At 49.8% G+C, this 27,098-nt stretch overlaps 2 protein-coding genes across 12 annotated transcripts in view, besides 3 other annotated features; one reads left to right on the top strand and one right to left on the bottom strand.

The window, feature by feature from the left end:
• LPIN2 (lipin 2) overlaps positions 1-14,768 on the top strand; it is a 96,151-nt gene extending 81,383 nt beyond the window's left edge. For 5 of the 8 annotated variants that reach the window (XM_047437958.1, NM_014646.2, XM_005258177.5 and 2 more), the window contains 12 exons: positions 319-506; positions 2,604-2,697; positions 3,102-3,171; positions 3,951-4,040; positions 4,957-5,039; positions 6,394-6,538; positions 7,216-7,364; positions 7,901-7,987; positions 9,563-9,715; positions 10,115-10,229; positions 10,881-10,984; positions 11,325-14,768. In XM_047437958.1, coding sequence (XP_047293914.1) covers positions 319-506; positions 2,604-2,697; positions 3,102-3,171; positions 3,951-4,040; positions 4,957-5,039; positions 6,394-6,538; positions 7,216-7,364; positions 7,901-7,987; positions 9,563-9,715; positions 10,115-10,229; positions 10,881-10,984; positions 11,325-11,469 — 1,423 coding nt within the window. In that variant the 3' untranslated portion in view covers positions 11,470-14,768. Of the gene's footprint in view, positions 1-318; positions 507-2,603; positions 2,698-3,101; positions 3,172-3,950; positions 4,041-4,956; positions 5,040-6,393; positions 6,539-7,215; positions 7,365-7,900; positions 7,988-9,562; positions 9,716-10,114; positions 10,230-10,880; positions 10,985-11,324 lie in introns of those variants that run through there. The other 3 variants (NM_001375808.2, NM_001375809.1, XR_935074.3) reach the window with 2 other exon arrangements.
• Positions 11,756-12,487: an enhancer, noted in NCBI's record as "H3K27ac-H3K4me1 hESC enhancer chr18:2919273-2920004 (GRCh37/hg19 assembly coordinates)". NCBI's record gives its function as "activates a minimal SCP1, AML or CMV promoter by ChIP-STARR-seq in naive H9 embryonic stem cells {active_cell/tissue: H9 hESC(naive)}" and the evidence as "EXISTENCE:reporter gene assay evidence [ECO:0000049][PMID:30033119]".
• EMILIN2 (elastin microfibril interfacer 2) overlaps positions 15,759-27,098 on the bottom strand; it is a 69,772-nt gene continuing 58,432 nt past the window's right edge. For 2 of the 4 annotated variants that reach the window (XM_047437884.1, NM_032048.3), the window contains exons 5-8: positions 24,677-24,979; positions 22,787-22,819; positions 21,943-22,071; positions 15,759-18,695 (exon numbers count right to left, since the gene is read on the bottom strand). In XM_047437884.1, the coding sequence (XP_047293840.1) occupies positions 18,358-18,695; positions 21,943-22,071; positions 22,787-22,819; positions 24,677-24,979 (803 nt within the window). In that variant the 3' untranslated portion in view covers positions 15,759-18,357. Of the gene's footprint in view, positions 18,696-20,580; positions 20,705-21,220; positions 21,574-21,942; positions 22,072-22,786; positions 22,820-24,676; positions 24,980-27,098 lie in introns of those variants that run through there. The other 2 variants (XM_047437886.1, XM_047437885.1) reach the window with 2 other exon arrangements.
• Positions 23,978-24,177: an enhancer, noted in NCBI's record as "active region_13028". NCBI's record gives its function as "activates an Ori minimal core promoter by ATAC-STARR-seq in GM12878 lymphoblastoid cells {active_cell/tissue: GM12878}" and the evidence as "EXISTENCE:reporter gene assay evidence [ECO:0000049][PMID:35858748]".
• Positions 24,618-25,477: a silencer, noted in NCBI's record as "silent region_9250". NCBI's record gives its function as "represses an Ori minimal core promoter by ATAC-STARR-seq in GM12878 lymphoblastoid cells {active_cell/tissue: GM12878}" and the evidence as "EXISTENCE:reporter gene assay evidence [ECO:0000049][PMID:35858748]".

Below are 27,098 nucleotides of genomic sequence, written 5' to 3'. Positions count from 1 at the left end.
AACTATTTTACTCCTTTAATTAAAAATCAGAAAGGCCACAGTTGAAATGTTTGCATTATTGTGAATGACCGTGGTGATTTTGTGACGTATTTACTATATTCACAGTTAATTTCTCACTGGTACTATATTAGGTTATCTTTCATGTCATTTATGATATGATTCTAAACCCTATCTAAGAAAAGTTATGCCTGATTGTAGGTCCATCCGTTCTTTTTAGCGGATGTGTTATTTGGTTTGAGCCCCCAGAGAACCATGCAGTAAACTAGGAATTCAAGGAGTTGTAATAAAGCACATCTTTTCCCCATCCCCTGTCCACAGTGAATCGGAGCCCGGTTCCAGGCAGTGGCCCGAGTCTGACACACTCTCTGGCTCCCAGTCCCCACAGTCCGTGGGAAGCGCAGCTGCAGATAGCGGCACCGAGTGCCTCTCAGATTCTGCCATGGACTTGCCTGACGTTACCCTCTCCCTTTGCGGGGGCCTCAGTGAAAATGGAGAAATTTCAAAAGGTACGTTGGGTGTTTGTGCCCCATCTTCATTTCAGAGAGCAATCTGGTCATCACTTGGTTAAAACTTACCGTGTAGCCATTTCAGGATATTTACATTCTTTAGGGATCTTGTGCAGGTAACAGGTATGTTCTGTAATGTCAGACCCTTATACCCTCACTTAAGGTCTTAATTGACACCTCTTTATGGAGTGGCTTTGAGGTAGTGTGCCCTTAAAGGCTCTAATTTCAAATTAAGAGGTTGGGAGTTATCAGGCCGCCCTGTTTTCTGAGCTGCCAGGGTGCGATCATCACACTGCACCAGTTTTCTCATCTGTAAAGTTACAGAAACATTTGTGGAACTGGGGCCCAGCTGCCCTTCTGGAAAGCACTGGGCCTTAGACATGAATATAGGGCCCTGAAGTTGTAGAAAATTGATTGTCCACTGAGTACGTGGTCTTTCTGGCAAAAATTAGGAGGATTACTTTCTGTATAAGGCTGGAGGGTTGGCCTACGAGAGTAAAGCTTGCTCAGGAATCAGGAGGGAGTTTAGCAGACATGTCAGGATGCCTATAGGCTGGGCTGAGTGCCATGTGCATCCGTCCTCAATTCATCAGCATTTTTTTTTAACCTTCCTTTTAAAACTGAACTCTTAGTATTTCTCAGTTTGGCCTGTGGCCCCTGTATGATTTTCTTCTAAGGGAAAATTTTCTTTCCGTGACTAGTGTCATCTTTTGTCTTCCCTCTCCCTTAGAGGAACTGAAGGTGTGATGTGGCAGACTGCATGGCCAGAGGCTCAGGACCATGTGTTCCTGAAGTCTTTCCTTTCCAGGGTCACAGGAAGCTCATTATGCCTCTTCCCTGTCTCTTCATTGTTTGTTTGCTTTATATTTTGCAAGAAATTTAAAGTGTGTTATGGCCAATGGTTCATTCTAGGGACTAAGTTAAATAGGTCACATTCTTTCTGTAATCCTCTTAAATGTTCAGTTTAAAAAATTATATGCGAGGGAATGCGAAATACAAAATGTAGGTAAAATATAAAAGTTACACCTTTGTTTTAAATATTGGTGACTTAGTCTAGTAGAGTTTATTGGAAGAGGCAGAAATGACAAGTAAATGTAAGTAATACACACATTACCTGGAGAAACAATCCAAGTGAGCAGTTTCTCTGTTAGCCTAGATCTAGGAGAATACAGGTTTAGGAACAGGGTACAAAAATTCATGGGAAGCCCTCATTCACTCTGCAAGAACTTGGGATTTATTTCACAGACCTTGAGCCAAATTCTAGGTTTTTTTGTTTTGCCTTGTTTTGTTTTTTTAATTCTCCAAGCAATTGTAACATGTAATTTTTGTTGTTGTTTTTATTATTTAAGACAGAGCCTTGCTCTGTCACCCAGGCTGGAGTGCAGTGGCACCATCTCAGCTCACTGCAACCTCCATCTCCTGGGTTCAAGTGATTGTCACGCCTGCCTCAGCCTCCCAAGTAGCTGGAATTACAGGTTGGCACCACCATACCCGCCTTATTTTTGTATTTTTAGTAGAGATGGGTTTTCACCGTATTGGCCAGGCTAGTCCCTAACTCCTGACCTCAAGTGATCGGCCCACATCGGCCTCCCAGAGTGTTGGAATTATAGGTGTGAGCCACTGTGCCTGGCCCAAACAATTTTAAGATATGTTTTGATATAATGTAGCTTGCTAAAGCTGTAAGACCCCTATGAATATTCCCCAGTTATGCCGTTGCCTGTCAGTAAAGTTTCTTCCTCTGAGAATAGAACTTCGACAGTTTTCGTGTGTGTGTGTCTGTCTGTCTTTCTGTGTCTGTCTTCCGTCCCTCTCTAGCCACATCTGTATGTATTTTTTTTGAAAGTCTCTGTCATGTCCCTTTTTACTAGTTTGTTTGTTTTCACTGGGAGACAGTGGAAAAGGAGAATAGAAAAGAAGTGTTCTTTCTTGTCCTGGGGAAAAAAAGCGTCTGACATTTTGCTTTTGATGAATATTCAAAAATTAGTTTTTTTAGACAGATGATTTTAGCCTTCAATTTCTGCAATGCAGAGAGTATTATAATCTCATATAGGGATTTATGTAATCTCTAACCAAATTGATTATTATTTTACATTGCAGAAAAATTCATGGAGCATATCATTACTTATCACGAATTTGCAGAAAACCCTGGACTTATAGACAATCCTAACCTTGTAATAAGGATATATAATCGGTAAATACTCCTGCTTTTATAATTGTTAAATACTCTTGCAGTTTTTTTACAAGTGCCATTTTTAACTGTTACTTATAAAAGTGTTCCTTCTTATAAAACTTGTCATCTCATATAAATTAGCCAGTGGGCAATGACTTTGAAGTGAAAGTAAAGCTTCAATTTTATTTTTAAAAGAAGCATTGAAATGTTACTCTGTTTGATAGATTTTACGGCTTCTCTGTTCAGAGAAGTTGTGCTTGAAGCGAAGGTTATTCATGTGACAAAAAATTCAGCTGATCATCTTTATTGAAAAGAATAAGCAATTTTATATGTCACTTCCCTCCTCCCTCCCTCCCTGATTCCCTCCCCTCTCTCTTGCTCACTTTCACTGTGTAATGGTTTTGCACAATTTTTGTTTCTCACAGTTACTATAACTGGGCTTTGGCAGCTCCCATGATCCTTAGCTTGCAAGTATTCCAGAAGAGCTTGCCTAAGGTGAGGCGATCCACCATCTGCTGCCTTTCCGAAAGCATCCGCAGTGTCTAGTACTTACACAAATCCATATGTGCATATTTCTGAACTGGGTACTATTCAAAGTTTTACTTGAGCTTAATATTTAATATAAAAGATCAAAGTCATATGTACCCACTAAAAATATCTCATGCCCAAACTCTGGGAAATTAGCAGGGCTGCCACTTCTTTATTTCATTTTTATTAGACATAAATACTAGTTTCTGATGGTCTGTAAAAGTTGAGAGATTTTACTAATCATAAGTTAAATATGGAATGAATGAAAAAAACTTTTTCTCCCATTAATATGGGAAGAAGCAGCAAGAAGAAGGTGATGTAGCCAAGAGAAGCTTGACATCAGTGTGGTTAGGGCAGATGGTGGCTAACATACCTGTTATATACAAACTCACAATTGGTTTTTAATCTGTCCCCCAAGAAGACATCATCAGCCTAGTTGGTCCTCTTAACTCATGAGAACCACATTTTCCAAAGATAGATAAATGAGATTTGCCCACCTGTCAGCCCCTAAGGTCCTACATAGCAGACCGCCTGGTCTCATGCCACAGAGCTGTGCTGCCATGAAAGCAGGACGGGGTCTGTCTCTCAGAGGTGTTAAAAACGCTAGAGGAATCTGGGAGGTGTGAAGAGAGCATCGGTCACGTTCTCACATTCCATAGTAAGGCCCCGTCCTTCAGGCTAGCATAGAAGGTAGGTGCTGTGTGGCCAGTAGATTGCCCAGACTAACCCAGGTTGGTTGTTTTCAGGCCACAGTTGAGTCCTGGGTGAAAGACAAGATGCCAAAGAAATCTGGTCGCTGGTGGTTTTGGCGAAAGAGAGAAAGCATGACCAAACAGGTAACAGACCTAGAGGTCATTGTTTCCGTGGGCTGAAAGAAATGAATCTTTCATTTATTCAAAAAACCTTTTTGTCAGGCACAGGAATTTGGACTGTATAGGGCTATTTTACCATATAGCAGTTTCCATTTTTGAGCACTTAGGACGTGCAGGTGTTGTCCCAAGTGGTCCTTTACTGTAGCTCAGCACTAGAGATGTTCGAGTTGCCATTTCACAGGTAAGGAAACTTGGGTGCTTCACGAAGTCACATAACTGGTGAGAGACGGAGCTGGGGCAAGACCTTGAGTCTGACTCCAGAGCCTGTGCTCTTTCTGCTTCACTGTATTACCTATCAGATAGGAGCAGAAGGTTATCGTCTGCCTGCATAGTTCCAGATGCAAATAACCAGAATCTGTTCCACCAGGTCTCCATAGAAATTCATCCAGAGAACCATACTAAACAAGCAGCAGAGCAAGTCTTTTTTTCCCCAACACCTTCTGAAAAAGAGGGTTCAGGGAGTTCTCACCTGTTTTTCAAATGTCAGAAGGGAAGTCTTGCCTGAACCAAGTTCATGTCCACGTCAGCAAGGGGGCTGCCTTTCAGTCCCTTCTGCACGTGGTGAGTTACTCCCAGGAGGAGAAGGAAGCTGGGGACCTAACAAGTTTGGGTCGCTTGTATTATGTTTTGTGACTTGAAATGGTGCTCTTAAAATGTTTTCCTTCTGGGTCTGTAGGGACAGTGATTTGCATAGAAGCACATGACTTCTGTCTTAGGTTTCTAATTCTTTGGCTCAGAATAGAGAAAGTCTGGTTTTTGAGCATTTTTAAGTTGTGGGTTCAGAAGGCAGTTGTGTTCTTTCCTAGAGAGGGCTGCTGATGAACTTGGCTTATCTGTAGGGAAAAAATTGCATGTTGCCATTATCATCTTGCTGTTACAGCTGCCAGAATCCAAGGAGGGAAAATCTGAGGCACCGCCAGCCAGTGACCTGCCATCCAGCTCCAAGGAGCCGGCCGGTGCCAGGTGGGTGCCCTGTCCTCTGCCCGGCTCATAGCACTCAGGCCCTCTAGCAGGGCCATTACTTCTAAGTTGATTTTGGCAGCTTGTTTAGTTCTTGGGAGTATCTTCTGCAGATACTACATGCTGTGATATATTTGTGCCACTCAGCAGATGACAACTGCTTTTCTAAAAAACATCACCAGCTTAGAAAAATAAATACCCTGCCTCCTTGTGGAGCCGTGGCGCCAGCGTATGGGAAGGGGCCGTGAGGAACGCTTCAGCCATGTTGGCCCAGGTGCCTCTGCTCCCCCTGCATCCCATCCGGAGCCAAAGGGAGACATACAAAATAATCTCCAGGTTGGCTTGGGTGGGTTTCCTTTCCTGGAAGAAACAGCATTCTTTGGACAGTTAGGGTGAGCAGCCCTGAGAGGAGTTGCTCGCGATACGCCGTGTTCCTGCTTCTGCCTGTCCACCTCCCCCGGCCAGTGCATGCTTGCTTCTCCCAGCCCTTGGCTGTCTCATTTAGTGTCTAAGGCTGAGGGTTTATTTTCTTGCCCCTTACCGCCCCCCATCCTATATCTTTTAAGGGGTGTCTAAAATTTTTCTTACTAGTTTTTGTTTTTTTCTAGAGTCTCACTGTGTCACTCAGGCTGGGGTGCAATGGCATAATCATAGCTCCTCGGCTCATACAATCCTGCCTCGGCCTCCTAAGTAGCTGGGACTACAGGTGTGGGACACCATGCCTGGCTAATTTTTAAATTTGTATTTTGTAGAGACAGGGTCTTGCTGTGTTGCCCAGGCTGGTCTCAAACTCCTGGGCTCAAGCAGTCCTCCTGCCTCAGCCTCCCAAGTAGTTAGGACCACAGACAAGTGTCACTACCCCTGGCTAATTTTTAAATGTTCCGTAGAAACTGGGTCTCCCTATGTTGCCCAGGCTGGTCTCAAACTCCTGGGCTCAAGGTGTCCTCCTAACTCGGCCTCCCAAAGTGTTGGGATTACAGGTGTGAGGCACCGCACCCAGCCGGAGTTTGTTAAATCATTGTAAGCGATTATGTTTTCTTTGATTTGTGCCTTGTGAAACATACATACCCTCTTCAACAAGAGTCAGTAGACCTTCTAGCATTCACTGGGCATAGCAGAAAATAGCAGGTCATAGTCAGAAAGTAAGTGCTTGCCAGTTATGAAAGTGGCCTTATCAGTTAACAATATGAATATTTCAGGCGTACAGAGCTGTGGATATGGGAGAATGGCAGAAGGGATAACTCTACCCATTCCTAGAAAAGATTTAGGATATCTTTATTTTCTTGATCCTAAATGAAAAGCTCTCATCAATAAAATGCCCTGCTGCCTCTTCCGTAACTGGGCTAATGTTGAACAGGCCGGCCGAGAATGACTCCTCGAGTGACGAGGGATCACAGGAGCTCGAAGAATCCATCACAGTGGACCCCATCCCCACAGAGCCCCTGAGCCACGGCAGCACAACTTCATATAAGAAGTCTCTCCGCCTCTCCTCAGACCAGATCGTGAGTCTTGCATGATCTGTGTTGTCCAGTAGGACTTATTTTAGTAATGGTTTAATTTGATGCACATCCTCTTCTGTCCACACGTCCCCAGCTGCATACACGCCACACGGCATGGTCGTGTCAATGCCTATCCACAGTGGAACCACGACCGCCGCCCCCAAGAGCTATCAGGCCCACCTGGGGAACCTGTGGCTTGGGTCCTGCCACCCACCCCAGACCTCCTTCCTCCATCTCTTGAGAGTCAGTCGTACACAGCTAACCCAGCGCTGAGCCAGGTACTGTCTCTTAGGAGCCACAGCAATAGAGAAATGACATTTTAGACACAATTTCTCCTCTTATTTTACACCCTGCCTTTGACCCATTTTCGGTATGAAAAGGTCTTGCTGGGACCAGAGCAGGCTGTGGCTAAAGCAGTAATTCTCAGGTGTGGAGTAAGAGTAGTAGACCTTTTGCTTTGTGGGTGTTCAGAGAAGTCCCTGGAACCCCAAAATACTGTTCAGGCAGTGGCTCCCTCAGCATTGTCAGCTGCGCTGGGCACAGGGTGGGCTGTGTCTAAGACCCCGGAAACCATCCTGCCTCTTGTTGGGATTCCGAGACACCAGTTGTTCTGTAAATTTTTAAATCGTTTCAAACTATGTTTTCAGCTGATTTTCTTTATTCTTATGCTTTTTTAAAAGGCAAAACTGAAGCTCCACGATGGCCCAAATGATGTTGTGTTTAGTATTACAACCCAGTATCAAGGCACCTGTCGCTGTGCAGGGACCATTTACCTGTGGAACTGGAATGACAAGATCATCATTTCTGATATTGATGGGACAATAACCAAGTAAGCTCAATCCTTCAGGTGGGTGGCAAGGAACAGCCCCGTGCTCAGGGAGGGGCAGGCAGTGTGTGGTGGGGAGTTCCTCACCTGGGGCTCGAAGCCCTCAGCCAAGGCATTTTATAAGCCATATGCTCTGAGGCGTCCCCAGTACAGTCCACATGGGGTCATTTTTTTGCATGGAGGAGATGGTGAGGGTGCATAACAAATGTCAAAAATCACTTTTGGAAAGATTAGTTATTTGGTTTCAATTCTGATATGAAAACAAGCCCCTTGACATTGGGGCGGAGGAAAAGAGAAAGTGTGGCAGTCAGTTACCTCCGAACACACACATCTGGCGCTCGTGAGACTCCGCTTTCAGAAGCACCTCAGTGGGTGCGTTTGCATGGGATGGCCTTGCAGTTGCTTGAAGCTGTGATTAAATCCCCTTTCAAGAGTGTCCCGCCACCAATTAGTTATTGGCAGCTGATAGTCAACCAAATAGGAAAACGCTGTATGTGTTTGATTCCTGATAGCTTTTCCTGTTTCTACCGTCTTCTTAGGTCGGATGCTTTGGGACAGATTCTCCCACAGCTGGGCAAAGACTGGACCCACCAGGGTATAGCAAAGCTCTACCATTCCATCAATGAGTAGGTACCCTCCCCACGTTAACTCGCTCTGGTGAGCTGGAAGCTTGCTTTAAGAACTATAGAACAATGGTGTAAGTCTTCAGTCCACATGAGTCATGTGTTTATGCTGAAGCATTCCCGCTCTTCCTCACTCCTTTCCTGTTGATGGTGTGGGAGCCGTGTGCACCTGGCATTGGCATCGAACCTGTGTCATCTCAGTTAATCCTCACAGTGCTGTGTTTCAGGCACTACCTACATCTATAACTAGAATGACAGTTATTTTTTTAGCTAGAATTTAATAAGATAGCTGATTTTCATTTTTGGTTTATTTTCTGGGTATTTTAAATTTTTTTTTTTTTTTTTTTTTTTTTTTTTGAGATGGAGTTTTGCTCTTGTCGCCCAGGCTGAAGTGCAATGGCGCGACCTTGGCTCACTGCAGTCTCCGCCTCCCGGGTTCAAGTGATTCTTCTGCCTCAGTCTCCCGAGTAGCTGGGATTACCGGCACATGCCACCATGCCCAGCTAATTTTGTATTTTTAGTACAGATGGGGTTTCATCATGTTGGTCAGGCTGGTCTTGAACTCCGAACCTCAGGTGATCTCCCCGCCTCGGCCTCCCAAAGTGCTGGGATTACAGGCATGAGCTATTGCGCCCAGCCTTAAAATTGTATTTCTTTGAGTAGATAGTGCACGCATGCATGAGGGAAATAGTTCTTGCATGGGCTGCTCTCTCTTGGGGCACCCTTTGAGGGGAAGATAGCCGTGCCATGGCGTTTGTGGGTTCCTAATACATATATTACATTGATCTGAAGAATCTCAGTGTCTTCAGCATTAGTTGAGAATACCATAATATGAAAATTACGAATATGTCAGTTACCTGGGTATAATTTTGCTTCTTGTCTGATGGAGTGGTTTGCATCTTGCACATTGCCTTTATAAATAATATCCCCTATATTTTTTCTTCACAGTGGGTAATTTAAAGATAGTCCAAGGTTTTTTCTGTCCTCTAATCTGGCTTTCATGGACTAGATGCTGAACATTTTATATCAGTACTTACAAACTTAACATAATCCTTAGTTGCCTGTACCTCCATTTTTTTCCCACGTTTTCCATGGAAGGTGAAACCTCTATAATCCTAAGCAGTTTCCTGCTAAATTTGAGAATTTGGTTTTCACAGTAAATGAGAGGAAGTTTATTTGGATCTTTTAAAAGAAAAGTATGGGTTGAGCATGGTGGCTCACACCTGTAATCCCAGCACTTTGGGAGGCTGAGGTGGGCAGGTTGCCTGAGGTTAGGAGCTTAAGACCAATCTAGCCAACATGGTGAAACCCTGTCTCTACTAAAAAATATAAAAATTAAGCCGGGCATGGTGTCCCATGCCTGTAATCCTAGCTACTTGGGAGGCTGAGGCAGGAGAATTGCTTGAATCCAGGAGGTGGAGGTTGCAGTGAGCCGAGATGGCGCCACAGCACTCCAGCCTGGGTAACAGAGTGAGACTCAAAAAAAAAAGAAAGAAAAGTGTGGGGTTTTTTTTTTGTTTTTTGTTTTCTTTTCCCTTAGCCAGAACATGTGGGCTAACAGGGTGTGTTTTCTTTCAGGAATGGCTACAAGTTTCTGTACTGCTCGGCTCGTGCCATCGGCATGGCCGACATGACCCGTGGCTACCTGCACTGGGTCAATGACAAGGGCACAATCTTGCCCCGGGGCCCCCTGATGCTGTCCCCCAGCAGCTTGTTCTCCGCCTTCCACAGGTACCTCTCCGGCAGGCAGCCCTCTGCCCACCGCCCCAGCATGTGGGCGGGGCTGGGCCCAAGGTGGGGGGATGTGTGGGAACAGAAGTCAGATGTTGGAGCCGCCACGCCTCTCCCAGTTCTTTGGTCCCTGGTGGTGTCCTACCACATACTGCTCACTTGCCATGTGGCGGGCCTGGTGAAGAAAGGCAGGTTCTAGGAACCGTCAAGTTTTCTCCTTCCCTAAACTTCATCACTCAAATTTTCTTAGTTATCAGACTGGCAAAGAAGGAGAAGGAAAGATTCCAGTTACAAAGGGTTGAAGAAATTGGGTGGTTGTGAGCACTAAAATTTTAGGACCACTCACTGGGGAAAACGACCATTTTGAGATTGGTGATTGTATTTGTATTTTTTTCTTAGAGAAGTGATAGAAAAGAAACCAGAGAAGTTCAAAATTGAGTGTCTAAATGATATCAAGAATCTGTTTGCCCCGTCTAAGCAGCCCTTCTATGCTGCCTTTGGAAACCGTCCAAATGTGAGTATCTCCTGGGCTCTGGGTTCTGATGTGGGTGAAATTCAGAGGGATGTACTTCGTGGGGTGTAGCCACGTCCCAATTCTCAAAGCAGTTTTGTAAGCAAAATGAGGCATCTGTTCTGCTTGTTCGGTTTTCACTTGATCTATTCCAAATATCTATAGCAACTGGGGAGGTCCTGCAGGTGCAGATCTGCCCCAGAATTTATACGAAGGACGCTTTTCCATCGTTTCTGTGGCTGCCATTCCATTTCCTCAGGCAGCTCCGGCTCCTCTTCTAAGCAGTTCTGAGCTGCGTCCTTGGATCACCCCAGAGCCAGGGTCAGTGCTGGCCCTTCGCTAGCACTTCCCAACCTGCCTCCCTTCTGCAGGGCCATCGGGCCTCAGGTGTGCAGAAGATGTGGCCTCTCTGGCCTCTTCTGCGCCAGGGACCCTGGCTTCCCCTTGGTGGCTGCCCAAGTTTTCTGACTCTCCAAGCACCACTCTGTAGTTTAGGTTTGTCTAAAGCTCAGTTTTGGTGGCAACTGCACTGTGCCGCCTCCGCATGTTTTCTGTCGAGTCTGTCTGTGCAGTGCTTCTGGCTCACAAGGAGCCTGAGAAGTATCTCCTGAATTCTCCTCCCTGGAATCACCCGCTTGCTATTTTCTTCTGCAGGATGTCTATGCCTACACACAAGTTGGAGTTCCAGACTGTAGAATATTCACCGTGAACCCCAAGGGTGAATTAATACAAGAAAGAACCAAAGGAAACAAGTCATCGTAAGTACATTCTCAGCTCTCAGCCCGGCGCCCTGCAGCCAGGGGTACAGTTGGGGACAGACAGACCCTGTCCTTTTCCCCCTGATCCTTGAGATCAGGCCCTGATCAAAGGATCAGCTACATCTCCTCTGTGGGTATCTCTCTTTCACAATATCTGTTTGAGGGGTCTCTGGTTATCCTAGACTTGTAAGAGGGAGTTTGAGCCCTGTGATGGGACTGAGGCCTGCCTCTGAACCTGCCCACCTGAGCAATCTGAGTGACAGCTTCACAGCCCCCCATCTTGTGCCTTTGACCGATCTTGAAGTAATAGCCTGTGCCTCTTCCCCAACCTTTCTCTTAGGTATCACAGGCTGAGTGAGCTCGTGGAGCATGTGTTCCCCCTTCTCAGTAAGGAGCAGAATTCCGCTTTTCCCTGCCCGGAGTTCAGCTCCTTCTGCTACTGGCGAGACCCGATCCCTGAAGTGGACCTGGATGACCTGTCTTGAGGCGGCACCTCAGTGGGTGGGCAGGGCTTGGTCCCCCTCCCCACAGCAAGGGAAGGCAGCTGGCTCTTCTGCTGACCTCAGATACCAGCCTTCCCCAGCGGGGACGGGTGCTTCTGGAGCTGGTCCCGCCATCCTCCTTTGCCTTCCCAGGCCAGCTGCTCAGGCTCGGCAGGTCTGCAGCTCAGCTCCTGGAAGGAGAAGGGAGGAACTGGGCCTGGGGCTGGAGGCCTGGGATCCCTCCTTTGTGGGTCGCACACATGTTTCCTGCTGTGAGCTGGGGCCTCCTTCCATTGCATCATTTTAAAGGAAGAAAAAAGCAGCTAAAAAAGAGTGGACCAAAACACTGCACACAGTGAAGTGTTCCAGTTTCCACTGGGCAGTTGAGGTGGCTTCTGTAACCAGGGCTGTCTTCAGATGTCAGGGTCCCTGAACTGCTGCGGGCCCAGTCAGTGATGCTGGCTGAAGCTGCCTGTGCACGTTTCTTCTCTGGTCGCCTCATTTCCTGCTACACTGAAGGGGTCAGCTGCTCCAGTGGGCCAAGTTGGGCAGGACCCCCGCCCCTGCAGGGCCCATGCACCAGAGCCACTGAGCCCAGTCCCATAAACCTGGCCCTCTTTGGGGAAAGATCCCCACAGAGCATCCTCCTCTCATCTGTGACAACTCCACGAGCCCTTAATTTCTTAGTCCTCACCAGAAGAACAGGTCTCACAAGTATATATTTGATGTCTGTAATAAAAGTGGGAAGGTGGGTCTTAAAACAGACCAAACCCCGCCCCGCCCCCAACAACTCTGCTTTTAGGGAGGCCTCCGAAATGCAGATAGGCGGTTGAGTGGGGTCCTGGGAAGAGCGCTGAATCCCTCTGCTTGCTGCCTGGTGTGGGCCTTTGGAAAGCATCTTGCCTTGGGACAGGATTTCTAAAATTCTGTGATTCAGATTTGTCAGGGAAGCACAGTGAAGCTTGCTTAAAGGCACTGGCCAGCAGTGTGTGACTTTGGCTTTTGGGATCACACCCTGTAATCGGGCCCGTGGAAGCAGCGTCAAAGAGGGGTCTTGGAGCTCCTATGGAGCAGACTGCCCCCCGAGCAGTGTCCCCAGCCTAGCCCTGTGAGACCCCATGGGGACACGGGTGCCTATGTATTTTCACTAAAATATACATGGTAGCTCCATTTACTGATGCGGTTGTAATGAGCTCACATCGTGTCTGAAGAGATGGCACCAGGGAAAGGTGTGCCATAAGCTGCTCCAGAGCTTTTGGTATGCTGAGTGTTGACAGAGCTGCACTCTTAACATCAAGAGAACTGTCAGGAGCCCAGAACCAACCCCAGGTCTTGGTCTCCATTGGCGAGAACACAGGACGTGGTGGTTCCTGAGCAGAGAGGGATCTGCAGATACAGGCTTGGCGCTCGGGGTGGTCTCGTGGCCAACTCTTCATGCCCCTGCCGTTGTAGTGGAACCTCTACATGTTTTAGTTTGCTTCACCTAAAATAATGCTGATCTAGAGATAGAGAAATAGGGGTGGTTATTTTTCCAGATTGGAGAGTTGAAAGTCCCTGACTGATTTCAGCCATTTTCCTAGTGCTTGTCGGATGCAGAGACAATGTTGAAATCCCCTAAACACAGTTCTCAGTGGCAAAACCTAGGAAGGCTCATGTTCCCAGAGAAGGGACCACATGAGCCTTCTCCCATGCAAAGCTTCCCCCAGCTTAAATAGTTGATAAGGACTAATTGTTTAATGAGTTTATTTATCTACAGTAGGTTAGGGATCCTGGGTTCTGTTTATATGAAGTTCTTCCCAGTTTGTGAATTCTAGTACAGCAGCCATGCAGCCACCTTATTTCATAGATGCCATCTGTGTGTCCTCTTGACTACCTTCTATTTAGAGGAAGAATGAGAGCTTTGTGTGTTTAACTGAGCTTATAGTAGGACTTCTTTGCATATGTATGGTACTGAAAAATCTTAATATACATCTTTAATCCTTTTTAGGTTGTCCTTTAAAGAGTTTTTGACTAGTTTCTTTTTCTTGACAGCTCTTCTCTTTGGACACATGGGCCTTCTTAGAGGGTTCAGTCTAGGACCCGGCTCTCCTGGCCCTGTGTTGAGGGTAGCTGGTCCCTCTGTCCCTGTGTCTGCTAGCACTAGACTTTGTTGCTGCAGATTGATCCAGTGGGTACATAGGCTAATTAATGTGAGTCTTTTTCCTTGTTTAAAGGAGTCCCTCTTGCTGAAAGTAGATGATTACTATTGCTGTAGTGTTAGGAAAGTATTAAGTTTGTGCTGAAAATCCATTGCCATTTGGTACAAATGACATTTGTTCTTTCTGTGAAAGAGATGCCCTCGAGTGTGTTTGTACACAAACCCTTAGGATGGTGAGTTGAAGCATCACCCTCGCGCTATCTTCAGTGACGGGTGACGGCTCAGGGAGATGGCAGGCAGATTGGGCTCTAAGTCATTATTCTCTCAGTTACTCCATTGGTGAAATGGCCCTTTCCCTCTTTGCAGTTCAGTCTAAGTCTCGTATTTGCTTTGCTGTCTGTGTGCTGAAGCTCGTCCCGTGTGAGTTGCTGTCTGCCCCTTGTCAGGCTGTGAGGTGCTCGTGTAGACCTGGAGCATGCAGGCTGCCTCCGTTTTTGGGTACTGTGTTGTGTTTTGCTCTGTCTAAAAACATCTGCATAGTTTTCAACTGGAAAAAGAAAAAACTTAAAAATGGGATGTCCTAAAATGAAAGCTGCTCAAAGTCACAGAACAACCGAGGGACAAAGGAGATTGGATGACTGGGAAGCGCTGGCCCGGAACAGCCCCTGCAACTGTGGGGCCTGCACACAGCCCTTCCACAGTTGGCACTGCAGGTGCAGGCCAACCCTTTAAAGAATAAACAAGGAAGTCAGCTCTTTCACTTTTTACAAGTTGGCAAAAACAGACTTCCGGGGAATTTCGATGTTTTCCCGTGTTGTAGAGCTTCCAGGGTTTAATAAAACTGGTTAAAAATTGAGTCTTTCCCTGAAGTAAGTGCTCTTTCCAGATGAAAACTACTCTTTTGGTTTTGTTTGAAAGTAAGAAAGGGAGGGGAAACTTTGCTCTTTTAATAATTATGTTCAGCCTATGATGAAGTATTTGATTATTAGACAGCAATGTCACTAATAAGTTTTAAGTTGTCCAAAGTTAATTGTAAACATCATCAGTACAGTACTCTTAGTTACAGTAAAGCAATTGTTGCAAGATGAATGGCTAATATTTTGGTGCAGTGTTTGATGTTCAAAACAAAATGTTACAACAATAAACGAACATAACATAAACTGAATGCATTTGGCTCTTTTCTTCAGGGGACATTGAAACCATCTTTCTAGATTCTTGCCAGAAATTGGTAATTTCCATAAATTAGCATCTTGATCTTTGCTGACACTTAAATTTGTCTACAGCAGGAGCTCCTTTTTGTTGCTTATTCTTAAAACCTGGCTTCAGAAGTGCAGCTACACCCCCAGGAACTAACCTCTTGCTTTGTACCTTCTGCCAGGAAATGACCCATCCATATGTGACTTCTGCTGTGGTCTCACGGCTGTCCAGGAGGCTGTGTTTACCTCCTCTCCCTAAGCACTTGAATTCCCTGGGAGTCCTGTCCAGAGCCCCTGGACACCCCACCTTTCCTTAAACCCTTCCTTAGGGTGGGTATGATTTAGCAGTCAATCCTGATGTTTTCATCACAGAGTCAGAGTGACCTTTGATCAAAACCACATCGCATATATTACTTACATGGTGATGTTTTGTCCTCTCAGATTGCTGGGCCCTTACCAGATGCAGCATATGCTGAACCCTGCATCCCAAAGGCCCTCCACAGGAGCGTGTGTTCAGGATGGAAATGTTTGTTTGCATGACGTGATGGCAACCATGGGTCTTTGGGAATGCAAAAGAAGAGCTCAGGGAAATTGGTTACAAAGGAAATGGTCTTTACCCAGAGCAGCTTTGAGGGCTTCAGGGGAGCAGTGAACTTTGCATACCTGAGCTCTGAGGACGTGCCTGCGTGTGGCTTCTCTCTGTTTTGCCCCGCACCCATTGGAGTTGGCATGTGTCCTTCCATTTTCTTTCCCGTTTATAGGATGGCATAAGGAAAATACACATTTATCTTTAGAAAGGGGCTGTGGTGTGGATTGGATATGTGCAAAGCTGGGTTTCCAAGCTTACAGGCATGAACGAAGTGACTCCAATCACAAATACTCCCTGTCAAGCTGCAAATACATAAACTGTGAGAAAATTAGTCACCTGGGAAAGCTAGATTAACATGCCAACCAGGAAGTAATTTCAAATGCAGTTTAAGGTTTGCATTTATTGACGATACCATTTTGTTTTTAATCGTGTAAATGAGGCCATTTGTTAGTGTTACATGGAGGTTTGGAGGGGATGTCACAGTCCTTCTCTACTTAAGAAGTGTCCTGACCTTTTCTCAGCAACAACTTGATATCAGAAGTTGTGAACTTGGCTGGGCGTGGTGGCTCATACCTGTAATCCCAGCACTTTGGGAGGCCGAGGTGGGCGGATTGGCTGAGCTCAGGAGTTCGCGACCAGCCTGGGCAACACGGTGAAACCCCATCTCTACTAAAATACAAAAAATTAACCGGGCGTGGCGGCATGCACCTGTAGTCCCCGCTACTCGGGAGGCTGAGGTAGGAGAATTGCTTGAACCCGGGAGGCGGAGGTTGCAGTGAGCTGAGATCGCGCTACTGCACTCCAGCCTGGGCGACAGAGTAGGACTGTCTCCCCCCAAAAAAAAAAAAAAGTTGTGAACTTGTGCCTGATTCTGTCTCAGGGTTTGGTATGCCTCTGACTGACTCGCAGGCACTACTTCAGGGGTGATGACTTCTTGAAGGGCTGCTTCGAACCCCACAGCCTTAAGCTCAGCTGACCTTGTTGTTCTACTACCTGTACAAAAAGACAGCCTTTCCCTTTCTAAAGATGTCTCCTAAGTGGGCCAGGATCCACCTGTCATCCAGCTTTATCTCAAAGTAGAGGCACGCTCCAGCCATAATGAGGCATATTCTGTTTTGCCTGTCTTGAATACACAGAGCTGAGATTCACCATTGTTGGTGAGTAGAGATGCACTGAGAGGAGGACTGGGTTTTACCCGATGTTCCAGACCCATCTACGGAGTAGGGAAAGCAGCAGGTAGTCATCACCCACCTTTTGCCTGGGCCCTGCCCCTGCAGCTCTTGAGCACGTCCCCTTGGGCGCCGAGTGCGGTCTTTTCAAAAGGAGCGTGAGAGGAGAGGAGAGGGCGATGGCGCGTGCCCACTGGGTTTTCCTGAAAACACTGCTGCACTGGGGCGCTTTCCATGAGTCATTCCTAGGACAGCCAAGGATACTCTCTGACAGCTCTCTTTAGCCAGTTCCCCAGCTGTTGTAATGGGGTGAGATGCCATTCTCCCTCCCGCTCCTGGACAAAGAGGTCCACATTTTAAATAGTAAAACGGCAAACCTTTAGTTCTTGCTGGTCTTCCTAGCTGTGGCGGGGGGAGTAAATAAGGAACTCTGAAGTGTCCAGTGGCCACCCTGTAAATTCATTTGCAAACAATTCTTAAAGCATTTTTTTTACAGCATAAGAGCATCTTGTGGGCCAAGGAAACTGCAGCTCTTGATTCTACCGTCCAAACCTTTCCCCAGTGGGACTTGATTAACCAGTAGGTGTTACCAACCTGATCCACAGAGACTACCTTGAACTAAGGGTGCTGAGAGGTCTCCGTGGCCACTGGTGACAGATTGATACTCCCGGGCCTCCCCTCAGTGGAGGCGTCTCGCTGTGTGAAGATGCCGTGTTCTCAGATGGGCTCAGCTGTCAGCGTGTGGCCAGCGTTAGGTTGAGCTTCCTGCTGCTTAGAAACCCAAGAGCTCGGCGAGCTGTGTCTGCTGGAGATTGGTGCAGTGAAGCAGCAGGGATCAAGTTAGCCTGGGCAGCTGCTGTGGGATCTGAGTGCAGCATCCCCAGAGGAGCCGCTCCAGCTGCAGATGACATGGGGCCTTGACCTCCGTGCACATCTGGTCCGTCTTCACAAGCCAGAAACAAAACCCAAGTGTATAGCTTGGATGCGGAGGGGTAACAGTTTTGTAGCTGAGATTAATTTTACTCAAGGTTACTTTCTGTAGCCCTTTTTGAAACAAAACATTTCTTCAGTTTGCTTTTTAGCAACAACTCCCGATCTGTAAGGGACCACACTTAAATTAACAAAAGTTAACTGGAAATGGCTTTCCATCTTTATTGACACTCCCTGTCTTTGCACTTAAATTGTACATGCCATTTAAGGAGCCCAACAAGCTTTGGGAACAGTCTCTAACGCATCCCTATTTGCAGCTGGGCGAAGGCCCGCCTGAGCAGGTTAAGTCCCAGGCGGCAATGGTGAGCCAAGCGTGGAACAGCCCAAACTAAAGTCGGGGTCTCTGTGCGGCGGCACGGGCCACTTCGGCACTTCAGTGTTTAAACTTCTGCATGCAGTGTAAAGACAGACAGCTGGCCACAGTGCTGCCCTGCAGTAAAGACCAGCCACCGTGACCGGCTCTCCCCTGCCTCCCTCCTCCCAGCCCACAGTCAGACGGAGCCTCTGTGGCAAGCTCAGGCCCAGTCCAGGGCCCTCAGAGTGTAGATACAGGTGGAGGCCTTTCCAAGTCTTCCAGTTGTCCAGTTAGAGTGGCAGAAAAGTCAGTGGCCATGTTCACCGTGTGCCTCACTCCCTGCAGCCTGGCTGGATGCAGTAAGGCATGGTGGCCTCAACAGCGAGGGAAGGCCTTTATGTTGGGGCCTATGTGGAAACTCTAGCCCCGTGCTTCCATTACATACAAACCGAATATATTAAAGCTTTAGAGTTTTTACAACTATCTATCTTTCCCCTGACATCTCCCCAGCCACCTTAGAGGTGGGAAAGGAAAGGATATAAGAAAACCCCACTAAATGTGGAGTACATTTCATCAAAGTCTGTGTGAGCCAGCTTGCCCCCAGTCACCACGACGTTGACTGCATCTCCCGCCTTCAGGTGCACGATGAGGTGGAATGCCCCCGGGCCCCCGCAGGTATGCAAAGCTCCTGGAGGGCGGTGGTATTCCAGGAACTCTCTCCTGTACCCAGCGGTATGCAGCTGGGCCACGCTGGCGTTGGAGACCGACAGCACTGCTTCCACGTAGGCGTCTCTCTCGGGGGTGAGGGTGGCCGTGATCAGGTAGCGCCCATCATAAGGAGCCGTGAAGACCCCTGCGGGGAGAAAGGCAAACCCTGTGCTCACCTGCTGTCGTCACAGCCCTTGCCATGGTAGTAAGTGGCCCCCCAGTGATTAACCTGGGCCTGGGAGACCAGCCATCTCTGTCTTCCCATGGTAGCTGGCTGCCTGCCTCAGCTGCTTTTTATGCTCATCCCCTACAGCCTACCCGTGATGCAGAGGCCACCTTAGCCCATACCACTTTTTGCCATGGGCCTAAGAATGCCTCTTGGAGGCATTCCTTATTGGAAGCACCTAAAGGCTAAAGTCAGCCTCAAAGCTTGGCTGCTGGGCAGAATACCCGGGAGGCAGGGCCAATAAAAACGAAGCTTGCCACCAACCCAGGGAGAGGCAGACATGGCACCTTGTAACCCCAGGGGCCATGCCAGGCTCCTCGTGGAAGAGGCCCATTCTCCCCATGCTGGGCAATGGCCAGAAGTGAGCACTGATACTCAGCCCATGACCCACACGTTCTGGGCCCAGGGTGGGAAAGGAAGTGGTGGCCAAAGGTGAGGAAGGTGGAAAGATCTGTACATGTCACAATTCGCTAAGCAGAAGCAGCTGTAGGTGGCCCCACAGCTAGGAGAGTCAGTGCCAACACCAAATGCCGGCAGGAATGGCCATCACTCACGGGCTCCGCAGCAGACATCGGACCTTGCCGCTGACAACAAGCCAAGAGTGGACATAAAGCGGAGGGCCCAGGAGCTAAAAAGGGTGGTCCTGGCCATGCGTGGTGGCTCACGCCTGTAATCCCAGCACTTTGGGAGGCCAAGGTGGGCAGATCACCTGAGGTCAGGAGTTTGAGACCAGCCTGGCCAACACGGATAACCCCATCTCTACTAAAAATACAAAAAAAATTAGATGGGCGTGGTGGCGTGCACCTGTAGTCGCAACTACTCAGGAGGCTGAGGCACGAGAATCCCTTAAACCCATGTGGCGGAGGTTGCAGTGAGCAGAGATGACACCACTGCACTCCAGCCTGGGTGACAGAACAAGACTGTCTCAGAAAAAAAAAAAAAAAAAAAAAAAAGTGGTTGTCAGGAGCCCAAGCCTTCAATCTGCTCTGGAAAACAGAAGAGGTCTGGCTACCCAGTCCCCTTCCCAACTTTGAACAGCAAGTAACTGAGGGCTTTCCAGATGCTTCCTAAGGTACCTGGCCCTGAGGCCAGCACCAGCCCTGGCGTTTTGAGTGTGGCCTTCACCTTTGTTCAGAGTCGCCTGTGGTGAAGCCTCACTCAGTTCACCCAGAATTTTCTTTCTGCACCTGCTCCATGCAAGACAAGAGATAGCTCTGGGAATGCGAGACTATAGGTCACAGTCCCTGCCTGCAAGCACCACCCAACCTGTCCAAGCAGACGAACCATCCCTATGGCCAAGGCAGTGCAGAGTGACCTGGGGAGCATGGCCTTGTTACAGTCAGGCAGATGGGAGCAGGGCAGGAGAGCCCCTACCCCAACTAGGAATGTCAGGCAACCATCAGATGATGGTCCTGCAGTTGTTAACTGTCTCTCTAAATTAATGATTGGTTGCAGCCAGCACCACAGAAAGGCAGTCGCCCAATAGTCAGACAAAACCTGAAGCTGATGATCAGCTGCTTCCAGATAAGATCTCCGGAGTTGGGCGATGAAGCTCATGCATGTGCATTAAGAGGCAAAAATGATGTTTCAAATGGTGTTTAACTGGTGTGTGACCTCCTGGGAACACTTGACTGGTACAGGAAGAACACCTCACGTGGGCACATGCACAACTCCAGGAAACACTGCGCACGCCCCCCTCTTAGGCACTGGTAGGCCCCTGTGCATGCGGACGGCCCCCCAAGGGAAGAATCAGGAAAGGGACGCAACCCTGGAAGCATGCCAATGTATAAGACCCCAAGTCACCTGTCAGACCGCACTTGAATCTCTCAAGTCGCCCACTTGGCCGTCTTCCGAGTGTACTTTCCTTCCTGCTCTAAAACTTGCCTCAGTCTCACTCTGCCTCATGCCCCTTGGTCAAATTCTTTCTTCTGAGGAGGCAAGCATTGAGGCCTGTATGGATTCCCCTTCCCTGATGTACTGACCCCAAAGGCCACTGCCACTCTGAGCAGAGGCCTGGAGGTCTGTGGGGCCCAGGAGGAAGCTACATGGCGGTGGAAAGTAAGTGGCGTTCCCTCTCGCCCTGACCTTAGATGCCAAGCTCCAGCTTAATCAGCCTGGGGCACTGAGAATTCATTTCTCTGAGTTCTGCAGGTAACTTAGGCTTGCTAACATAACAGTTAAGAGCCACTGACTAAGGACAGATGGGATTTAGCCAGACAGTGACTAGACAGGGCAAACGTGAGGCTGGGGGTGGCTAAAAACTACCAAGAAGGAAACCAAGTCCCCCTCCCTCCCAGTGGCTTATGGGTGGCAAGGCCTCCCTGAAATCCACTGCCCCACCCCCCTCCAGGAGGCCCTGTTCACAGTGCGTGAGCAGAACAGTGACTGCTGAGGGCAGAGAGAGACGTCAGGAAAGACCCCGGGCTGTGGGGACCTCCCCACACCTGCCTGGGAGCTCTGTCCTGATGGGCCCAGGCACCCCTGGACCCTGTTTCCTTGGAGCTGCCCTCCGTCCGGGCAGAGCAGCCCAGCCCAGGTGGACACTGATGGGACACAGGGAACTCGGAGGTAAACTCCACACCCATGATCCTTGGGACCTCCAGCAACAACCCGGGGCAGGGGGACACGCCAGGCGCTGCAGAAAGACTCAGGCTCCCAGCTGAAGGGATTCTGTTGCAGAGCATGAGGCCCTCTGGGGAGCGCAGTCCCTCTTGTGGCTCTGTTCATCATAAACTAGGAGACCCTGAGGGAGCCTCCCGCTTGTCCTGGCCCAGGTTGTCAGGATGACTGTCGGAGCCTGAGAGAGGGGTGCAATGGTGGCTATCAGAGGTGGCCAGGGCATGGCGGGCTGTGCCGGCACAGCCCTCATAACTGCTGTAAAAAATGAATAGCAACCCCAGTGGTGAATGCTGAGGACTAGCGTGTTGACCTCACGACTAGAAAATGTTACACACCCATGCAGCCTGCAGCCCTCGAGCTGGGACACGTTCTACGTGAAAGCCCACAGAGTCGGGCAGAGGAGTGCAGGCCCACTCGGGCATCTGCTCCAGGGTGGCGTCCTCCCTGAGCCCACGGGACGCTGGGAACCAGCCAGCCATGGTGGGAGGGGTCCCACCTGCGTTGGGGTAGGAGGAGGACACAGTACCAGTTCCGTTCAAACACTCACCGGTGCTGGGGTTGTAAACATCCCCGTCGTTCACCAGCACTTTGTTAAAGAGGACAACGCCCCCATCACTGGGGAAAGGCTTCTGGGTGAGCCCCGCAGAAAAAGACACCAGAGAAGGCACCGGAGCTCCTGGAGCAGAGAAAGGATGGAATGGATTGACCCGGGTGCTTCTGTCCTCCAGGGGGAGGGCCTGGAAAACTGAGGCCTACGTGCCAGGCCCAGGTGCCAGGCCCATTTTATTTCACCCAAAGTGGTGAAGCAAACTCCTCATGCCCAACAGCCAGAGGGTTCCCTGTCTGAGGATCAGCAGGCAGGACAGCTGAGGAATCTGAGAAACCGGACAGACTCTTGTTAGGAGGGTGTGTGTGAGGCTGGGCATGTAAGCATATGAGATGAGCATGTGTATGTGCGTGTGAGTGTGTGCACACACTTGTGAGCACACATATTAGGAGGCCAGGCCAGGCAGTGGGTGCATCATCATCTAGGGAGCTGCTTCCTTACTAATAAATCAGTAAAACCTGGAGCCCCAGGAAGCTCATCAGGACCACACAAGGGCAGAGGCCCACCCAGTGATCCCCTTGGGAAACTCAATGAGCTGGGATGATGGAGGAGGGAAGATTCCTTGTCTTGGGCCTGACTCTGACCCTCTCTGGGGAGCAAACCTTGGGGAATTTGGTCCACTATAGTCAGCAGAGGGCTGTCCCAGTGCTGGTGGGTGGGGAAGGGCTGGGCCCAGGCTTGATTTGTGCTAATAGCCTGGAGGGAGGAGGCAGGAGATGCAGAGGAGGGGCAGAGGCCACCAAGGAGACCGCTCCTCCTGCTCCTGGTCTCTCAGCAGACATACCTGGGGAAGCTACAGGAGGTGACTTCGGGTATCCTGAAAAACAGAAAGGAAATGGCATGTCAAACAAGACCCTAAGCACCAGCTCCTTGTTCTGAGCCCCCTTTTTCCTCTGCTCCTCACAAGTTCAAATCGAGTCTTCACTACTATAGAAACAGACATAGAACAAGGGCACCCACTGTCACTGCCCTCCTTCAAGCAGAGGCACATTTGTACCAGCCCGTCCCTGCTTCCTCACTAGCCCATTTATCCCTGGCGGGGAAGAGGGCACTGAGGGCAAGCTGGCTGCAGGAAAGAAAGAGATGGGCACTGGAGCCTTGGAGACTTCTCTGTGACTGAGAGAGTCACACAAGCCAACTAACATTTGCCCTCTAGCAGTGTTATCTGTTCAAGAGCTCTACCTTCAACTAGACTGAATGCAGTACTTATTAAATGGAGGCATGGATGGGTGGGTGCAGAAGTGGAGGGACAAATAGATGGATGAGTGGATGCACACAGGGAAGAGTGCACGGCTTGATGTGTGGAAGGATGTGCACATGCATAGGTGGGTGGACAGATATGTGCATGGATACATGGGTGGGTGGGTCCCTGGGGTGCCCCAGCCTCTGCATATGAGGATGCATATGTGGGTGGATGGATGTATCGATGGGTGGATACACGGATACATGTGTGGGTGGGTGGCTGGATGGAAGGGTGGATGGAAGGGATACACGGATAGATGCATGGGTGAGTGCTGCATGCACGGAAGGGTGCGTGGATGGACAAATGAGGGAACAAATAGCCCAAGAGAGCCTAAGCATCCATGATACATGGAACTAACAGAAGATAAGTGTTATCTTAGAAAATGCAGGACATCTGCTTAAGAGCTGTGATCACCGCAGCTCAGGTGTCTAAGAAGGAATAGAAAAAAGAAAGCTGGTGAGAGAAAATGTCTCCTTGTCTTCTCAGCAGTGACCCAGCCTTCCAGACAGCCGTGGGCATCAGGGGCCATGGGGGCACCAGGCTATCACCGATGGGGAACAACCCCAGCCCTGCCAGTGTCTGCATGTCCCTGATGGTCAGCCTGGTCTGACTCAGAGGGGACTGACTGGTTTGCATTGTTCTATGCATGTATCTATGGCAGATGACATGACCTGCCCCATTCAGGGTCATCTGTTTATCTGTTATAGCCACAAATCTCAGTTTCCTCATCTGTAAAACAACACTGGCTTCACAGTGCCATTGGGAGGGCTGCAGGAGATCCAGATAGGGTTCAGTCCCTGGCACGTGGTGGGTATCCCACAAATGCTCACTTCCTTCTCCTGTCTCTACTCTGACACCACCCCCACTGTCACCACGACAGTAATGGTGCAGACATTCACAACTCATGGGGAGCACTTCCCAGTGGGGCACTGAACTGGGCTTTTCTCCATCCTCACAGTAAGCCTCTGAGGTCCTGCACTCTCCTCATTTTGTGGTTGAAGGAACTGCAGCTCAGAGAGCTCAGGAAGCTGCCCCAAGTCCCGAAGCCCGTGGTAGACAGCCCTCCTGCCTAGCCACGCTGCTGTGCCACCTGCTTTGCTGCTACCCAAGCTCCCAATACCCTTCTGGCTTCCAAGATCCTTCCTGCTGGGAATCAATGAGCTGCCCGTGTGGCACTCGTACTCCAACCGGCGGGGCCACTCAGTATGTCTAAGTACAGACGACTGCACTGTCCCTGAGGTGCCCCGGCCTCCGTGTGCTGGACTAGCATGAGCGGTCCCTCGGGCCTCGGCATCCTTCCAAAGCTGCATTTCGGAACTTGCCCCCCCGAAGGCTGGACCCCGAACCGCCACGCCCCTCAGCAGACCCCGAGGCTCAGGCGGAAGTTCCGGGAGAGCCCCGCGCTCCTCCCCGCGCAGCCCCGGGCCTCACCTGGTGCGCCCGCGAAGCCTTCTGCGCCGGGGACGGTGCCGCTCCCGGTCTGGCCGTCCACGCCCCGCGGCAGACCCCGCCCAGACACGCCTGCGCCTGCGGGGGGCCCGGCCTGGCCCGTCTCCGCGATGACCCCGGTGGAGCCTGGCGGCTGGGGCGGCCTCTCCTCGGGGGGCCGCTGGGGCAGGACGGGCCGTCGCCCAGGGTCCTCTGCGGTTGCGGGGCCGCTGGGCCTCGGCGGGGCGGGCTCGGGCTGCAGCGGCTCCTTCGGGGCCTCTGCGGGCGGCGGGGGCGAGGGCGCCTCTGCCGGGCGTCGGGGAGAAAGAAACACACGGGATTAGGAAACCTCAGCCCTGACTGCCCCGTCAGGGTCCCCTCCATGAGTCCCGGCGAGCGGGGTCCCCGTGAGGACTCTGCGGCCACCCCTGCGACGTCAGGCCAGCGGGACACACGGGCGTCCGCCCGCATCTTCCGAGGACGCCGCGGGCCACCCGGACGCCGCCGGGGACCCCTGCCCGGGGCCGGGGCGTTTCCAGCCTCTCCGGCGCAGACGGCTGCACTTTCCAAACCGGCCTCACTCTTGGCTCCGGCATCAACAATTCCCGATTTCACAGCACGCGGAAACCGCGGGTGCGTCGCAAGTGACTGAAAGGGACCTGAGGCCACCGACCCCCGCACCGTCTCTGAACCACACTCCTGCCGGGGCCCCACGGCCTCTCCCGCGGGCTGCCGAGGGACCCTGCCGGGGGGCCCCAGGGCTGCGCGGAGGCCGTGAGGAGGGCTCAGGCTCCACGAGGGCCGCGGCCACAGCGCCCACGTCGCCAGCGGAAGGGACTTCCAACGGAGGAAGCTCCTGGCGTGCGTCTCCCGGCCCTCTGGGGAAGGCGCCGGAAGCTGCCGCCCTTTCCTCCTTTGAACTCGTTCCCGGAACGAGCCCTCCAGGAAGCCCCTCCCGACCGTCCACGGGACGCCTGACAATACCCGGGCCTGGCTGAGGGACCCGCTCGCCAAGAAACGCCATCCCCGCCGCCCCCGTCAGCCTGGTGCCCACGATGCCCAGAGTTCCAAAGCGCAACACATTTGATTTTTGTTTAGGACCCGACAAAAATCGGCGGCTGCCTCCCGACCTGCCGTCTAGTTTTGTTTTAAAACTCCCTAAGCGGGCCGGGCGCGGTGGCTCACGCCCGTAATCCCAGCACTTTGGGAGGCCGACGCGGCCGGATCACTTGAGCCCCCAAATTCGAGACCAGCCTGACCAAGATGGCGAAACCTCATCTCTTCCAAATATCCAAAAAAAAAAAACAAAAAAACAAAAATTAGCCCGGGGTAGTGGAGCGCACCTGTAATCCCAGCTACTCGGGAGGCTGAGGCAGGAGAATCACTTGAACCCAGGAGGTGGAGGTTGCAGGGAGCCGAGATCGCCCGCTGCACTCCAGCCTCACTAAGCTGGGGAGAAGGGCAGTGGAGGTGGTTGATGGGTTCAAAAATATAGTTAGACAGAGTTAATAAGATCTAGTATCTGATAGCACAACAGGGTGACTGCAGTCAGCAATTATCTTTTGCACATTTTTAAATAAAAGAGTAGAATTGGAATGTCTGTAAAGAAATGGCACATGCTTTGGGTAATAGATACCCTATTACCCCGATTATTATACACTGCATGCCTGTATCAAAATACCTCATGTACCCCATATATATATATATCTACTCTGTACACATAACAACTAAAAATTAAAAAAATAAAACTAAGATAAATATGGCAGATCAAATACATGCCCCCCCCCCGCCCCACCCACAGAGGCAGGTTGCCAGAACACCCTGAGAGAGGCAGTTTCTCCAACAGCCTTTCCTGACCAATGTTCCATGAGAGAAGCCCAAGAGAAAACAATTTGAGTGATTACTCTCTCAGTTTTCCCTGAGGATGATACAGAGCTAATTCCATTCTAGATACAGAGAAGTTAGTTCACGCCATACAATAGAATGGCATCAGGATTTACATCTCTTTAGAACCCTGGTTGAGAAAGGCTGGGTTAGACAGAGAAACTGAGGCAGAGGGATTGAAAAACATGCAGATACCAGCTACAGTGGAAGATAGGAGTAAGATACCAGTCTAAAAACACTAAGCGAAAGTCTGCTCCCTGAATAAGGAGGCTCACAGTCCCCATCCTCTGCTAAGCTCCCAGCCACTTGCTTATACCTCTAGCTGGATATAGGAGGATTCTTCAAATTGACCCTATGATGCCCACAGTCGTGAAACTCTATCTAGTGTCTCCCCATTAAATGTGAACCAAAGTCAAAATCACCTGACATATGAGGAAAGCCGCCTGTGTGAACGACAGGGACCAAAGCAAGCCACACCAACTAAAGAAAAGGAACTCTAAAGAGACAGACACAGTGCAAGAAAATAAACACATCCTACCCT

This window comes from Homo sapiens, chromosome 18 (assembly GCF_000001405.40).
Source record: "Homo sapiens chromosome 18, GRCh38.p14 Primary Assembly".
NCBI lineage: Eukaryota > Metazoa > Chordata > Mammalia > Primates > Hominidae > Homo > Homo sapiens.
The sequence above is the reverse complement of the archived record's forward strand: the minus strand, read 5'-3'. Positions and strand labels throughout refer to the sequence as shown.